Genomic DNA, 16730 nt, shown 5'->3' on the forward strand with positions numbered 1-16730 from the left:
GTCCGGCTAATTTTTGTATTTTTAGTAGAGACGGGGTTTCCCCGTGTTGGCCAGGCAAGTTTCACACTCTGACCTCAGGTGATCCACCTGCCTTGGCCTCCCAAAGTGCTGGGATTACAGGCGTGAGCCACCTCGCCTGGCCCATAATATTTTTTTTTTTTTTTTTTGAGACAGAGTCTCGCTCTGTCACCCAGGCTGGAGTGCAGCGGCGCGATCTCGGCTCACTGCAAGCTCCACCTCCTGGGTTCATGCCATTCTCCTGCCTCAGCCTCCCAAGTAGCTGGGACTACAGGCGCATACTGCCACGCCTGGCTAATTTTTTGTATTTTTAGTAGAGATGGGGTTTCACCTTGTTAGCCAGGATGGTCTCAATCTCCTGACCTCGTGATCTGCCCGCCTCGGCCTCCCAAAGTGCTGGAATTACAGGTGTGAGCCACCATGCCTGGCCTTTTTTTTTTTTTTTTAGACCAAGTCTCACTCTATCACTCTGGCTAGAGTGCAGTAGAGCGATCTCGGCTCACTACAACCTCTGCCTCCCAGGTTCAAGTGATTCTCCTGCCTCAGCCTCCAGAGTAGCTGGGATTACAGGCGTGTGCCAATGCCTGGCTAATTTTTGTATTTTTTTAGTAGAGATGGGGTTTTCACCATATTGGCCAGGCTGGTCTCGAACTCCTGACCTCATGATCCACCCACCTCAGCCTCCCAAAGTGCTGGGATTACAGGCCTGAGCCACTGCACCTGGCCACCTGGCCCATAATTTTTATATGCACTGGGAATCCAAAAGATTCATGTGCATTGCTTTTTTGCAGTATTTGCTTTATTGCGGTGGTCTGGAACCAAACTTGCGATATCTCTGAGGTATGTGTGTAATTAGAAAAGGAGGTTGGGGCTGGATGCGGTGGCTCACATCTGTAATCCGTACAGCCGAGGCAGGTGGATCACCTGAGTCAGGGGTTTGAGACCAGCTTAGTCAACATGGTGAAACCCCGTCTCTACTAAAAATACAGAAATTAGCCAGGCATGATGGTGCACGCCTGTAATCCCAGCTGCTCGGGAGGCTGAGGCAGGAAAATGGCTTGAACCCGGGAGGCAGAGGTTGCAGTGAGCTGAGATCGTGCCACTGCACTCCAGCCTGGGTGACAGAGGAAGACTCCATCCGAAGGAAAAAAAAAAAGACAAGGAGGTTGGGGGTAGTCAGACTGCAGTGAGGGTTGAAGAAGGGGTGTGATGCCTGGGGCCCTGAATGTTGCAGATTTGGAGGACATGGGGGCTTTTGTTCCTGGAGGCGTCTTTTTGTAGAGAAAGATGAAGGATGCTTGGCTCTCTGGGGCCTGAGTTTGAAAAGGGCCACGGAGGGGCCGGTAGCCAGGCCTCAAGTTAAGTGCACTAGCCCACGGGTTCCACGGAAGGTGGGATTGGATAGCTCATGCTCCATCTCCCCCGCCCAGCATGGCACCTTGGGCAGTGGCCGCTCCTCGGACAAAGGCCCGTCCTGGTCCAGCCGCTCACTGGGTGCCCGTTGCCGGAACTCCATCGCCTCCTGTCCCGAGGAGCAGCCCCACGTGGGCAACTACCGCCTGCTGAGGACCATTGGGAAGGGCAACTTTGCCAAAGTCAAGCTGGCTCGGCACATCCTCACTGGTCGGGAGGTGAGTATGGGCACAGGGTGGGGCTCGGGGCAGGTCCCTGTGGGACCAGGTCTTCGGTGTATGTTGATAGAGGTCAGGATTGGCCCTGGGTTTGCTTTGTGGCCTCAGGTAAGTTCCCGACTCTCTATGGGACAGGTCACAATATCTCTGATGTTCCCAGAACCACCCCCATGGGAAAAGAGAACTAATTTCATGTATCCCTGAAATTGCCGGGAAATCTCAGATCACAGGCAGTCCAATGTGTGCGTTGCTAAGGATGCATGTGGCTTTTGTAGATAAACCTGAGCTGTGGCCGGATGCATTGGCTCACACGTGTAATCCCAGCACTTTGAAAGGCCAAGGCAGGAGGATTCCTTGAGCTCAGGAGTTTGAGACCAGCCTGGGCAACATAGCAACACTTTGTCTCCACTAAAAAATAAGTAAAATTTTTTAAAAATTAGCTGGGTGCGGTGGTGTGTGCCTGTGGTCCCAGCTACTTGGGAGGCTGAGGCGGGAGGATCGCTTGAGCTCAGGAGTTTGAGGCTGCGGTGAGGTGTGACCTCACCACTGCACTCCAGCCTGGGTAACAGAGTGAGACCCTATCTCAAAAAATAAAAATAAAATAAAATAAAAGAGGGCTGGGCATGGTGGCTTACGCCTGTAATCCCAGTACTTTGGGAAGCTGAGGCAGGTGGATTGCTTGAGGTCAGGAGTTCGAGACCAGCCTGACCAACATGATGAAACCCTGTCTCTATTAAAAATACAAAAATTAGCTGGGCGTGGTGGCACATGCCTATAATCTCAGCTGCTCAGTAGGCTGAGCCAGGAGAATCGCTTGAACCCAGGAGGCGGAGGTTTCAGTGAGCCGAGATCATGCCACTGCACTCCAGCCTGGGTGACAGAGTGAGACTCTGTCTCAAAAAAATAAAAAAATTAAAAGGCCGTGCGCGGTGGCTCACTCCTATAGTCCCAGCACTTTGGGAGGCCAAGGCAAGTGGATCACCTGAGGTCAGGAGTTCAAGACCAGCCTGGCCAACATGGTAAAACCCCGTCTCTACTAAAAATATAAAGATTAGCTTGGTGTGATAGCAGGCACCTGTAATTTCAGCTACTTGGGAGGCTGAGGCAGGAGAATTGCTTGAGCCCAGGAGGCAGAGGTTGCAATGAGCCAAGATGGTGCCACTGTATTCCGCCTGGGCAACAAGACCGAGACTTTGTCTCAAAAAAAAAAAAAAAAAATTGGCCGAGTGCAGTGGCTCATACCAACAAACACAGCGCTTTGGGAGGCCGAGGCAGGTGGATCACCTGAGGTCAGGAGTTCGAGACCAGCCTGGCCAACATGGCAAAACCCCATCTTTACTGAAAAAAAAATACAAAAATTAGCTGGGTGTGGTGGTGCGTGCCTGTAAGCCCAGCTACCTGGAAGGCTGAGGCAGGAGAATCACTGGAACCCAGGAGGCGAAGGCCGCAGTGAGCCGAGATTGTGCCACTGCACTCCAGCCTGGGTGACAGAGCAAGACCATCTCAAAAAATAAATAAATAAATAAATAAATAGTAAATAAATTAAAAATAAAAAATAAATAAACCTGAGCTGCCTCTCTGTTTTAAGGGTGGACTTTGGTTCCTTGAAATCTTCCTGTGATCTGGAGAACACAGCAGGTTTATTTATGTTGTATTCTCAGTTACACACAGCCTCACTCTCCCCACCACCTCTTCCAGAGCAGGCATCTGTGCTGAGTATGGTGACATTATTGCAAAAAGGGCCCACACAGGCTTTGCAGCCTAGATATGAGGTCTCTAACTCACTTAGAGGAAAAGGAATGGTGGGTGATTTCATGATTTCCCCACCCCTCCTTCAACTTCAGAGAAATGATTGGAATGAATTATCCTGCCTTGGATGGACTCTCCCCTGCCCTCACGCTGTCTACACCATACACGCAAAAGACACCGGGCCCCGATGGTCTTACAGGCAAATCCTACCAGATGTTCACATTTTATGCCAGTTCTTCCAGAGACTAAAGAAAGAACTGCCACTGCCTGACTGATTTTTACGCGCTAGTTTGTCCTTAAGAGCAAAACCAGACAAGAAACAAAATTACAGGCCAATCTGGTGAACATAGGTATAAAAATCTTATACAAAATATTAACAAACAGAACCTGGCAAATCAATTAAAGAAAGCTGTGTGATGACGAAACTGGCTTTATCTCAGGAATGCAAAGTTCTTTTCCCTTTGACAATTTATTCATGTACTTCACCACATTCTCAGATTAAAGAAGAGAAACCATATGATCGTCTCAATACTGGCATAAAAAGTGTTTGATAAAATTTTTAAAAACACATTCGTGAGAATATGAGGAAAGCTAAGGGGCTCTCTCTTCCATGAAGAACACATGGTTCCCTATATGTGGATCTGGTTCCAGGGGTTTCTGAGAGGGACCTGGCCCCATCTCTGTTTTAAAAATAAAATAAAAGTTTTACTGCAGACTGGGTGCGGTGGCTCATGCCTGTAATCCCAGCACCTTGGGAGGCTCAGGCAGGCGGATCACCTGATGTTGGGCGTTCAAGACCAGCTTGGCCAACATGGAGAAACCCCGTCTCTACTAAAAATACAAAATTAGCCAGGCATGGTGACGCATGCCTGTAATCCCAGATATTCGGGAGGCTGAGGCAGGAGAATCCCTTGAACCTGAGAGGTGGAGGTCGCGGTGAGCCAAGATTGCGCCATTGCACTCCAGCCTGAGCAACAAGAGGGAAACTCTGTCTCAAAAAAAAAAAAAGTTTCACTGCAAAAGAAGTATAAGGAGAGTTCAATGACATTCTGATTTCCTCCCCATGATGTATCTCAAAGCTGTTTTAAAAGTTGTGTTTAAGAGGTAGATTCCATCAGGCTGCATAAGTTCAAATCTGGGCCACAACTTACTACAATTTACTAGCCATGTAACTTTGGCCAAATGACTAAACAGCTCTGTGCCTCAGTTTCCCTGTTGGTAAAATGATGATAATCCTGTTAGCCAAATGTTGGTGGCATGTGCCTGTGGTCCCAGCTACTTGGGAGGCTGAGGTGGGAGGATCACTTGAGCCCAGGAGGTCAAGGTTGCAGTGAGCTATGATCACACCACTGTAACACCACTGTACTCTAGCCTGGGAGACACAGCGAGACTCTGCCTCCAAAAGAAAAGGGGGCGGGGGGGTGGGGTGGGTGCGGAGAATGGGAGGGATAATCCTAGCACTTATCTCACAGGTTGTTGTGAAGATTAAGAGTTCTCGTTTGTAAAGCGCATAGTCCTTGTAGTGAGGGCTTAGTGCATGTTAACCAGTTGTTATTTATTCCACTGTTCATTTGTTCAAAACAAAGATGTGATGGGCCAGTGATCTTCATTGCCCTCACAAAGGGATCCCCTCAAGGTCTCGTCCATGCCCACATCCACTCAGGCAGCTCTGGAGCAGCGTCAGCCAGGCCCTGCTGTGGAATAAGGATATTTCTCTGCAGAAGTGAGGGTGGCAGTGGAGACAGTGAGGACAGCTTGTGCAAAGGCCCTGAGGCCCTGAGTTCCCCATCCACAGGGTATGGCCCAGAGTGAGGGCTCTTCTGGGAGAGGGGGCAAAGGAAGGATATCCCAGGGTGATCTGAGCTGGGCCAGCTGGAGTGCAGTGACGTCATCTTGGCTCACTGCAACCTCTGCCTCCCAGGCTCAAGCGATTCTTCCAACTCAGCCTCCAGAGTAGCTGGGATTACAGGTGCCTGCTACCACACCTGGCTAATTTTTGTATTTTTAGTAAAGACAGGGTTTCGTCGTGTTGACCAGGCTGGTCTCGAACTCCTGGCCTCAAGTGATCCTCCCGCCTTGGTCTTCCCAAAATGCTGGGATTACAGGCCTGAGCCACCATATCCAGTGGGGCTTGTGGCACCTTGACCGTCCCTCCTCCTTTCCTCCCCCTCTAGGTTGCCATCAAGATTATCGACAAAACCCAGCTGAATCCCAGCAGCCTGCAGAAGGTGAGGCTGGGGAGACGGGGGAGAGCAGGAGCCAGGCTTCCGGCACAGCCGGGTGACCCACCTGACCCTTCCTGCGGGGGCCCGGCTGGGGAAAGGATCCCCCAAGCCACCCACCCTCACTCTCCTCTGTCTTCCTTTCTGGCCACGCCCAGCTGTTCCGAGAAGTCCGCATCATGAAGGGCCTAAACCACCCCAACATCGGTGAGGAGGGAATGGGAGCAGGGGCAGGCCACCAACTGGAACACTTGCAAAGGAGTTGGGGGTGGTGGCAGTGGTTAGAATAGTTGGAGACCCACCAGGCGCAGTGGCTCACTCCTGTAATCCCAGCACTTAGGGAGGCCGAGGCGGGTGGATCACTTGAGGTCAGGAGTTCGACACCAGTCTGACCAACATGGTGAAACTCTGTCTCTACTGAAAATACAAAAATTAGCAGGGCATGGTGGCGGGCGCCTGTAATCCCAGCTACTCGGGAGGCTGAGGCAGGAGAATTGCTTGAGCCCAGGAGCCAGAGGTTGCAGTGAGCTGAGATCGCACCACTGCACCCCAGCCTGGGCAATAAAGCGAGACTTCATCTCAAAAAAAAAAAAAAAAGAAAAAGTTAGAGACCTGGTTTCTCATAGTTGCATCACTGCTGTGTGACCTTGGGCAAGTCACTTAACCTCTTTGAGCCTCTATTTTCTCTTCTGGAGTAGGGGTGATAAGAGGGCCTATTACCAGGTCATTGTGAGGATTGACAAAGATGATGCATCCAAAATGCTTAGTTTGGGCTGAGCTATGGGACTTGGTCCAGTTATTTCCACCAGCATCAACATCCTCACTGTCATTATCATTGGGCAGAGGCGGGAGTGAGGGGTCTTTAGTGAGAGAAGCGGAGTTTAGCTCCGCCTGGATGTGGCTGCAGCATTTGTTCATTCATTCATTCATTTACTCAGTAATTATTGATTGAGTGGCCGCTATGTGCCAGACCCTGGGGACACAACAGGGAAGACAACAAGACACAAATCTCTGGCCTCATGGAGCTGACATTCTTGTGAGAGAGAAAGTGGAAAGGGTGGCTGGGCGCGGTGGCTCACGTCTGTAATCCCAGCACTTTGGGAGGCCGAGGCGGGTGGATGACCTGAGGTTGGGAGTTGGAGATCAGCATGACCAACATGGAGAAACCCCGTATCTATTAAAAATACAAAATTAGCCGGATATGGTGGCGCATGCTTGTAATCCCAGCTACTCGGGAGGCTGAGGCAGGAGAATCGCTTGAACCTGGGAGGGTGAGCAGAGATCGCGCCATTGCACTCCAGCCTGGGCAACAAGAGCAAAACTCCATCTCAAAAAAAAAAAACGAAAGTGGAAAGGGTGGTAGAGGGGGCTGAGGAGTTTGGAAAATCTTGCTGTCAGTAGGGAGCCATTGAGTGTTGAGTTGGGGTGGGGGTGTTATGGTTGGCACATTTGCATAGTTACTGAGGACAGGTTAGGAGGGGCCCTTTCTCCCTAATGCCCTACACTGTTCCCAACCATTATAGTGAAGCTCTTTGAGGTGATTGAGACTGAGAAGACGCTGTACCTGGTGATGGAGTACGCAAGTGCTGGTGAGCCGCCCACCCTCTCCGCCCTGCCCCTGTGCCACCTCCCCCTGCCGCTGCACCTGACCCTGACCCCGCTCGGCCTCTGCCCTGCAGGAGAAGTGTTTGACTACCTCGTGTCGCATGGCCGCATGAAGGAGAAGGAAGCTCGAGCCAAGTTCCGACAGGTTGGGGCAGGGCTGAGGGTGGGGCTGACTGGGTGCCTGGGTCCCTGGGAGGGCGTCTGAGAGCTGGGCATGGTCTGGGCTGTCCAGCGACCTGGGGGCGGGGCTTAAGTCTGGGCAGGGGTGAAGGTGCAGAGCTGGGTGTGCTGGGCATATAGTTGCCCAGATGTGAGGGCATCCGGATGTAGGTTTGCAGGTGCCCCGTTGGGTGGGTGAGAGGATGTTTGGGCATGAAGGCGCCCCGGTGGGCAGGTGTTGCATGTGTAGGGCATGTGGGTGTGCCCAGCGCGTAGGTGTGTGGGTGATGGGGGCACGAAGGTGCCAGGGTGCCAGGTGTGAGTGTGCCGGAGTGTGATTCAAAAGATGTGTGGGCAGTAGCTATGTGGGTGCCCAGGTATGTAGGTATGTAGGTGTGTGGGGAAGAGAGTGTAGGGCACCCCAGGTAGATGGGCAAGAGAGGGCTGAGGGGTGGTTGTGTAAGCTTGTAGGTACTAGGGCATGCCGGTATGTGGGTGCCCGGGTGTGCGAGTGCCCAGATGTATGGGTTTCCAGGTGTGTGGTAGTGAGGACACCCAGGTGTGTAAGAGTGTGGGGGGGGCCAGGTGTGGAGTAAGAGGACGTGCAGGTGTGAGGGTGCCCAGGTATGTGGGATAAGAAGAAGTGCAGGTATAAGGGTGCCCAGGTGTGGGGTAAGAATATGTGCAGGTGTGAGGGTGCCCAGGTGTGGGGTAAGAGGAGATGCAGGTATGAAGGTGCCCAGGTGTGGGGTAAGAGGAGTTGTGGGTGTGAGGGTGCTGGGGCATGAGGGGTAAGAAGATGTGCGTGTGTGAGGGTGCCAGGTGTGTGGGGTAAGAGGAGATGCAGGTGTGAGGGTGCCGGGGCATGTGGGGTAAGCAGATGTGCAGGTGTGAGGGTGCCGGGCATGTCGGCTAGGAAGATGTGCAGGTGTGAGGGTGTTTCTGCCTTGACGCTGCTGTCCTGAACTCAAGGGCCATAAGCCCTGGTGAGTTGGGGCGGCCTGTCTATCTACAGGTATGGGATATCCCCATGGGAGTTTCCAGATGTGAAGGTCAAGAGAGGCTGGTCCCCATGCCTTGGTTCCGACATCCCTGGGCATGGGGGTGTCCTGGGGGAGACGTGTGTCTGCCCAGGTTCCACGGGCACCTCTTGCTGTGACTGAATCAGGGTGTGAGGCCCCAGATCTCAGGCTGTGCCTTGGGGAGGCCTGGGGCCCAGCTGTGAGTGGTTTCACAGTCCACTGAGGGAGGCTGAGGGTTTTGGGAGCCACAAATAACCAACCTTCCCCTTCCCTCCCAGATTGTTTCGGCTGTGCACTATTGTCACCAGAAAAATATTGTACACAGGGACCTGAAGGTAAGCCCCCGACCCGCTGTGATCTCAGGGACCACGGCTCAGCCCACAGACTTCTCCCTGCCCCCACCCCTCCATGGTTTCCGTGGCCTCCAGCAAATTCCTCCAGCCCTTTTCTCCTCCTGCTCTTCCCTCCACACCCAGCACCCCCTTGACCCTTTCCCAAGCTTTTGTGGCAGAAACAAGGCCAGCAGATGGGGGAGCGGATGGGGGGGAGGGGACAGGAGGAGTGAACAAAGCAGGGAGAAACAAAGTGTCCCAAAATGGCCCTGGATGCTACAGGGCTGTTGGATAAGGACGCTGGGACATGATAAGGGGTTTGTCGCTCTCAGAGCCTTTGGGACCTTGGCATTCTCCGACCTTAGGACATTCAGGACTCCTTGAGGATTTAGGTTGCAGAGCCCCAGAGTCACTCTGCCCACAGGGTCCCAGAGTCACAGGAATCTGAGAACTTTTTTTTTTTTTTTTTTTTGAGACAGAGTCTCACTCTGTCGCCCTGGCTGGAGTGAAGTGGCGCGATCTCCGCTCACTGCAAGCTCCGCCTCCTGGGTTCACACCATTCTCCTGCCTCAGCCTCCCAAGTAGCTGGGACTACAGGCGCCCGCCACCAAGCCCGGCTAATTTTTTATATTTTTAGTAGAGACGGGGTTTCACCGTGTTAGCCAGGATGGTCTCGATCTCCTGACCTTGTGATCCGCCCGCCTCAGCCTCCCAAAGTGCTGGGATTACAGGCATGAGCCACGGCACCTGGCCGGGAATCTGAGAACTTAAGAAGGCTTCGTTTTTATTTTTATTTTTGACATGGAGTTTCACACTGTTGCCCAGGCTGGAGTGTAGTGGCCCCATCTCAGCTCGCTGCAACCTCCGCCTCCCGGGTTCAGGCGATTCTCCTGCCTCAGCCTCCCGAGTAGCTGAGGTCACAGGCACCTGTCACCATGCCCAGCTATTTTTGTATTTTTAGTAGAGACGGAGTTTCACCATGTTGGCCAGGCTTGGTCTTGAACTCATGACCTCAGGTGATCCACCTGCCTCGGTCTCCTAGAGTGCTGGGATTACAGATGTGAGCCACCGTGTCCAGTCTGAGAAGGGGCTTTGAGAGAAAAGCCACCTTGGCCAGTACCAGGCAGGAAGGGACTCAACGGGGCTCCAGCCCAGCTACCTGTAGGAGCTGAGCCAGGCAGCCTCCTCGAGTACCTGTGGCCCCAGGGTCCGCATTCCACACCTTCCGCTGTATGTCTCAGTCCTCGCGCTCCAAGACCAGGTGGCTGACCGTTTGGTTGGCTCAAATCCGGTTGTCTTGACTGTCGTTTTGTGAGCACCTGTGTGCTAGGCGGCATCCTAAGTGCTTTAAGGAAGTGCTTCTGGAACTATCTGTGAGGAAGGACTGGGTTGGTTTTGTTGTTTTGTTTTGTTTTTTTGTTGCCCATACTGAAGTGTGATGTTTCCATCACAGCTCACTGTAGCCTCAACCTCTTGGGCTCAAATAGTTCTCTCACCTCAGCCTCCTGGGTAGCTGGAACCACAGGTGTGAGCCACAAAGCCTGGCTAATTTTTGAGTTTTTTGTAGACAAGGGATCTCACTCTGTTGTCCAGGCTGGTCTCGAACTCCTGGGCTCAAGAGATTCTCCTGCCTCAGCCTTCTGAGTTGCTGGGATTACAGGTGGGCACCACCATGCCCAGCTAATTTTTGTATTTTTAGTAGAGACGGGGTTTCACCACGTTGGCCAGGCTGGTCTCAATCTCCTGACCTTGGGTGATCTGCCCGCCTTGGCCTCCCAAAGTGCTGGGATTACAGGTGTGAGCCACTGTGCCCAGCCACAAACCCCATTTTAAAAGCTATTATTAGATTCTAAAGAAATTCCACAGTCAAATTCCTATGGAGGACCAGGCGCAGTCTCACACCTATAATCCCAGCACTTTGGGAGGCTGTGGTGGGAGGATTGCTTGAGCCCAGAAGTTCGAGAACAGCCTGGGCAACACACCCAAGACCTGATCTCTACAAAAAATAATTGTAAAAAATTAGCTTGGCTGGACGCGGTGGCTCTCACCTGTCCCAGCACTTTGGGAGGCCTAGGCAGGCAGATCACTGGAGGCCAGGAGTTCAAGACCAACCTGGGCAACACGGTGAAACTCCATCTCTACTAAAAATACAAAAATTAGGTGGTCGTTGTGGCGCGTGCCTATAATTCCAGCTGCTTGAGAGGCTGAGACATGAGAATTGCTTGAACCTGGGAGGTGGAGGTTGCAGTGTGCCAAGATCGCGCCAGTGCACTCCAGCCTGGACAACAGAGCAAGACTCCATCTCAAAAAAAAAAAAAAGAAAAAAAATTAGCTTGTATGCCTGTGGTCTCAGCTACTCAGGAGGCTGAGGCAGGAGGATCCCTTGAGCCCAGGAGGTTGAGGCTGCAGTGAGCCATGATCATGCCACTGCATTCCAACCTGGGTAACAGAGCAAAACCCTGTCTCTAAAAACAACAACAAAAAATACAAAAGCAGAAAGTGCATCTGAAAAAAAGAAAAATAATACAAAATGAAAACAAAAAACAAATTGCTATAGAGGTTCAAGTGCTAACCCTCTCTTCACTTCCTTCCACTGGGCTAGGGTGTCCCTCCACACGGCCCTGGAGGCAGCACCTTAGAGGCTTCCATGATTCACCTGGAGGTCGTATGTCCCCTGGTGGAGGGTCCCCAAAGCAGCTAACACGAGTTTTGGGGTCGTATTAGTACACCAGGGGTACCAACCAAGGGGACCAACCCATGTGACTTTGGGGCTGGATTGCGGAGCCTCAAATGGCAGGAAAAGAAATGTAATCCCTGGCCTGGCGTGACGGCTCACACCTGTAATCTCAGCACTTTTTGGGAGGCCGAGGTGGGCGGATCACCTGAGGTCAGGAGTTCGAGACCAGCCTGGCCAACATGGCAAGACCTCGTCTCTACTAAAAATAAAAAAAATAGCCAGGTGTGGTTGTGGGCGCCTGTAGTCCCAGGTACTCGGGAGGCTGAGGCTGGAGAATCGCTTGAACCCAGGAGGAAGAGGTTACAGTGAGCCGAGATCGTGCCACTGCACTCCAACCTGGGTGACAGAGTGAGACTCCATCTCAAAAATAAAAAATAAGAAAAAGTAAGCCCCGAGCAAGCCAGATGCTATTACATTCAGGTTTAGGGAGGAGCTCTGTGGTGTGTCTTTGTAGGGTTTGGGCCTTTATTGGGGCAGGAGCTGGGGAAGAGTGGTCCAGAAATAAACCAGGAGACATAGGGAGACCTGGGAGGAAGCCAGGGATGCTGGTGACCTGGGCGAGGGAAGGACCGCAGTTGGGATGGGCCAGACGCGGGTGACATTTTGAAAGGTGGAGGTGTGCCTCTGTTTGTAGTCAGAAGGCTGGAGGCTTCTTCCTCCGCGCACTGTGGAAACGGGTGGCCTTGTTTAGATTCTAGTTGTGCTGCTTTCTTGCAATGGGCATGAGTTGTGGCCTCCCACAGCTTCTGTTTCCTCCCCTGTGAAATGGCAATTGCAAGACCGCATGCCGCAAAAAAATAGACAAAACTTTATAACAATACAAAACGTTTATTTATTTATTTATTCACTTATTTTTGAGATGGAGTCTCGCTGTGTTGCCCAGGCTGGAGTACAGTGATGCAGTTTCAGCTCACGCGATTCCTTGCCTCAGCCTCCCAAGTTGCTGGGATTACAGGCACCCGCCACCACGCCTGGCTAATTTTTGTATTTTCAGTAGAGACAGGGTTTTACCATGTTGCCCAAGCTAGTCTCGAACTCCTGACCTCAGGAGATCTGCCTGCCTTGGCCTCCCAAAGTGCTGAGATTACAGGCGTGAGCTACCGCGCCCGGCCATGAAATGTTTACTGATCACTGACTGTGCTCTAGGGGCCGCTGTGAGCACTTTACGCTTAAACCCACAACCACGCTTGAGGCAGGTGTCGAGATCACCCTCAGTTTACATACAAGGAAACTGAGGCACAGAGAGGTCTGGTAACCCACCTAAAGTTCACACAGCGAGTGAGTGGTGGAGCTGGGATTTGCAGCTGGAATTCTCCGAGAGTCTGTCGTTTCACCTTCACGTTATGCAGACAGACACTGTTATAATTGATAGTCCACAGAGCCCAGTGCATGGTAGATATGCAACCAGGATTAAATTATTGCTTTCGTTTTCCTGGGTCTTGAGCAATCAGGCCTTATTTTGTTTCTGCTGGGTAACTTGAGGCTCCAAGAGGGGCAGGAGATTACCTGAAGACCCCTAGATCTGCAGACCACATGGGGTAATAGTGATATTACATAGTACTCGCTGGGTATGAAATACTGTTCTAGCTTTTCTTTTTTTTTGAGACAAGTTCTCACTCTGTTGCTCAGGCTGGAGTGCAGTGGCACAGTCTCAGCTCAGTGCAACCTCTGCCTCCCAGGTTCAAGCAATTTTTGTGCCTCAGCCTCCTGAGTACCTGGGACTACTGGCGCACACCACCATGCCCGGCTAATTTTTATCTTTATGTTTTTTTGAGACGGAGTTTCGCTCTTGTTGCCCAGGCTGGAGTGCAATGGCATGATCTCGGCTCACCGCAACCTCCACCTCCTGGGTTCAAGCAATTCTCCTGCCTCAGCCTCCCGAGTAGCTGGGATTATAGGCATGTGCCACCACGCCCAGCTAATTTTGTATTTTTAGTAGAGACGGGGTTTCTCCATGTTGGTCAGGCTGGTCTTGAACTCCCAACCTCAGGTGATCTGCCCACCTCGGCTTCCCAAAGTTCTGCGATTACAGGCGTGAGCCACGGTGCCCAGCCCAATTTTTGTATTTTTAGTAGAGATGGGGATTCACCATGTTGGCCAGGCCGATCTTGAACTCCTGACCTCAGGTGATCCACCTGCCTTGGCCTCCCAAAGTGCTGGTATTATAGGCGTGAGCCACTATGTCTGGCCTGTGCTAGGTTTTCTATGTGGATTAACTCATAATTCTCAAACTACGCTATGAAATAGGAACTAAGATTATCCCCATTCTATGGATGAGGAAACTGAGGCTCAGTGAGGTAAAGTTACTACCTAAGGTCAGGTAGAGAGTAAAGGACAGGCCCAAGAGTTGATCCCTGTGGGCCAGCCCTAGAGCCTGTGCTCCTGTCTGCCTCCCACGTCCATGAAAGGCTTTGGCCTTGAGTCCCACTTTCCGCCCTCTCCTTCTCTCCCTGCAGGCTGAGAACCTCTTGCTGGATGCCGAGGCCAACATCAAGATTGCTGACTTTGGCTTCAGCAACGAGTTCACGCTGGGATCGAAGCTGGACACGTTCTGCGGGAGCCCCCCATATGCCGCCCCGGAGCTGTTTCAGGGCAAGAAGTACGACGGGCCGGAGGTGGACATCTGGAGCCTGGGAGTCATCCTGTACACCCTCGTCAGCGGCTCCCTGCCCTTCGACGGGCACAACCTCAAGGTACCGAGAGGGGCTGGGTGCAGGGGCATCAGCCCCTCCCCACAGTCAGGCCCCTATCCCCCCCACACCTCCCCTGCAGAGGGCCTCAGTGGTGGGACTGGCCTGAGTTCTCATGGGAAGATGGGGGATGGGCAGGATTCAAGTCCCCTCTGCAGTGAGGCCAGCCGAATGGACTGTGCCATGCTGGGGTTAAGGGCATGATCTTTGCAGCTGATAGGCTTGAGTTCAAATCCTGACTCATCCGTTCACTGAGCTAATATTTATGGCCCACTTCTCTGTGTCAGGCTCTGTTTTGGGCTTTGCATGTAAGGCGAGAACAAGAGAGGCAAAAACTCCTGCTTGGCCGGGTGCGGTGGCTCATGCCTATAATCCCAGCACTTTGGGAGGCGGAGGCGGGAGGCTCACTTGAGCCTGGGAGTTCAAGACCAGCCTGGGCAACATAGGGAGACGCTGTCTCTACAAAAAATACAAAAATTAACCGGGCATAATGGCGCACGCCTGTAGTCCCAGCTACTTGGGAGGCTGACGCGGGAGGATCACTTGAACCTGGGAGATCAAGACTGCAGTGAGCTGAGATCGTGCCACTGCACTCCAACCTGGGTGACAGAGGGAGACCCTGTCTCCAAAAAGAAATTAAAAAACAAACCCTGCCCTCGTATATGCTACGCTGTGGGTGAACCTTGAAAACATTGTGCTAAGTGACAGAAGCCAGTCACATAAGGCCACAGAATGTATGATTCCATTAATGTGAAATGTCCAGAATAGGCAAATCCATAGAGACAGAAAGTGGATTACTGGTTGCCTGAGGCTGGGGGGGAGGAGCAAGTTGGAGGTTGATTGCTAAAGGGTACTGAATTTCTTTTGAGGTGATGAAAAATGTTCTAAAATTCAATGTAGTGGCCGGCCTGATGGCTCACACCTATATTCCCAGCACTTTGGGAGGCCGAGGCAGGCAGATCACCTGAGGTCAGGAGTTCGAGACCAGCCTGGCCAACATGGTGAAACCCTGTCTTTACTAAAAATACAAAAATTAACCGGGTGTGGTGGCAGGCACCTGTAATCCCAGCTACTGGAGAGGCTGAGGCAGGAGAATCGCTTGAACCTGGGAGGCAGAGGTTGCAGTGAGTCAAGATTGTGCCACTGCACTCCAGCCTGGGCGACAGAGCGAGACTCTGTCTCAAAAAATAAATAAATAAAATTGAATGTAGTAATGATTGTGCAACTCCGTGCATATACTAAAAGCCATCGAATTGTGCACTTCGCTTCAAACAAAACAGTTCCTGTCTTCCCAGACTAACATTCCTACTGGGGCCAGGCAGCTAACAAAACAATAAGCAAACTAGATATGATATCAGATGCTGGCCTGTGCTATGCTGGGGGGAATACTGTAAGGGGATGGGAGGTGTGGGCTGAGTTGTTGCTTGCTTTTTTTTTTTCCCCCTTTGAACTTTTTATTTTGAACGATTGCCAATCTACGGAAAAGTTGCAACAGTAGAGCAAATAACACATGGTATGTTTCAGGAGCTTCACAATCGCTGGCCTGTGTCCACATTTGCTCTATCTGTCTGTATTTGCACATGATCTTTGCTGCCCTCATCGGCATTGATGGCGCATTTGACAGTTAGTTGCAGACGCTGTGTCCTTTTATCCCTAAAGGCGAGAGCGGGTTATCTCCTGAGACCAGGGGCGTTTTCCTGTTGACGGTGACATACAGGAAATACAGCAGTGGTATAATCCTGGCCTCTACGCCATGGCCCATACTCAGATTTCATCCATCATCCCAGGAATATCTTTGGCAGCTATTTTTTTTTCCCAGTCGGGGATCCACTCGGGTCCCTGCGTTGCATTTAGCTGCGCCATCTCTTGTGTCTCCTTTCATCCGGAACAGTTCTCAGCCTCTCTTTTGTCTTTCATGACATTGACATTATCGATTAGTTCAGGCCAGTTAATTTTGCAGAACGTCCCTCAATTTGGGTTGCCTGGTGTTTCCTCTCGATTGGAATCGGGGGTGCATTGGGGCAGGAATTCTGCAGCTGGGACGCTCTGTCCTGCTCTGCGTTGCCCGTGAGGAGCACGTACTGTGATATGAAATTGTAAAGTCAGGGAAATACTTGCAGAGGACAGACCATCAAAGCGGAACCCTGAGTGATGAAGAGGAGGGAGTCCCTTCTTCACAGTGGCCTTGGCCAAATAGCCAACCCCTCTAAGCCTCAGTCTCACCTGCTGTTCAATGAAGATCATAAAGGTACCAACCCTGTGGGCCGGGCGTGGTGGCTCACGCCTGTAATCCCAGCACTTTGGGAGGCCGAGGCGGGCGGATCACGAGGTCAGGAGAGCGAGACCATCCTGGCTAACACACTGAAACCCCGTCTCTTCTAAAAATACAAAAAATTAGCCGGGCGTGGTGGCAGGCGCCTGTAGTCCCAGCCACTCGGGTGGCTGAGGCAGGAGAATGGCATGAACCTGGGAGGTGGAGCTTGGAGTGAGCGGAGATCTCGCCACTGTACTCCAGCCTGGGCAACAGAGCGAGACTCCATCTCAAAACAAACAAACAAAAAAGAT

General features: G+C 51.9%; 1 protein-coding gene across 3 annotated transcripts in view, besides 2 other annotated features; it reads left to right on the top strand.

Moving 5' to 3' along the window:
* Nucleotides 1–16730, top strand: part of MARK4 (microtubule affinity regulating kinase 4) — a 54014-nt gene that overhangs the window by 6270 nt on the left and 31014 nt on the right. For 2 of the 3 annotated variants that reach the window (NM_031417.4, NM_001199867.2), the window contains exons 2-8: nucleotides 1449–1649; nucleotides 5573–5626; nucleotides 5779–5827; nucleotides 7144–7209; nucleotides 7300–7370; nucleotides 8685–8741; nucleotides 13932–14168. In NM_031417.4, coding sequence (NP_113605.2) covers nucleotides 1449–1649; nucleotides 5573–5626; nucleotides 5779–5827; nucleotides 7144–7209; nucleotides 7300–7370; nucleotides 8685–8741; nucleotides 13932–14168 — 735 coding nt within the window. The remainder of the gene's footprint in view (nucleotides 1–1448; nucleotides 1650–5572; nucleotides 5627–5778; nucleotides 5828–7143; nucleotides 7210–7299; nucleotides 7371–8684; nucleotides 8742–13931; nucleotides 14169–16730) is intronic. The other variant, XM_006723307.5, reaches the window with a different exon arrangement.
* Nucleotides 6878–7463: an enhancer, noted in NCBI's record as "H3K27ac-H3K4me1 hESC enhancer chr19:45767676-45768261 (GRCh37/hg19 assembly coordinates)". NCBI's record gives its function as "activates a minimal SCP1, AML or CMV promoter by ChIP-STARR-seq in primed H9 embryonic stem cells {active_cell/tissue: H9 hESC(primed)}" and the evidence as "EXISTENCE:reporter gene assay evidence [ECO:0000049][PMID:30033119]".
* Nucleotides 7464–8048: an enhancer, noted in NCBI's record as "H3K27ac-H3K4me1 hESC enhancer chr19:45768262-45768846 (GRCh37/hg19 assembly coordinates)". NCBI's record gives its function as "activates a minimal SCP1, AML or CMV promoter by ChIP-STARR-seq in primed H9 embryonic stem cells {active_cell/tissue: H9 hESC(primed)}" and the evidence as "EXISTENCE:reporter gene assay evidence [ECO:0000049][PMID:30033119]".

The sequence above is a fragment of the Homo sapiens genome, chromosome 19 (genome assembly GCF_000001405.40).
Source record: "Homo sapiens chromosome 19, GRCh38.p14 Primary Assembly".
NCBI lineage: Eukaryota > Metazoa > Chordata > Mammalia > Primates > Hominidae > Homo > Homo sapiens.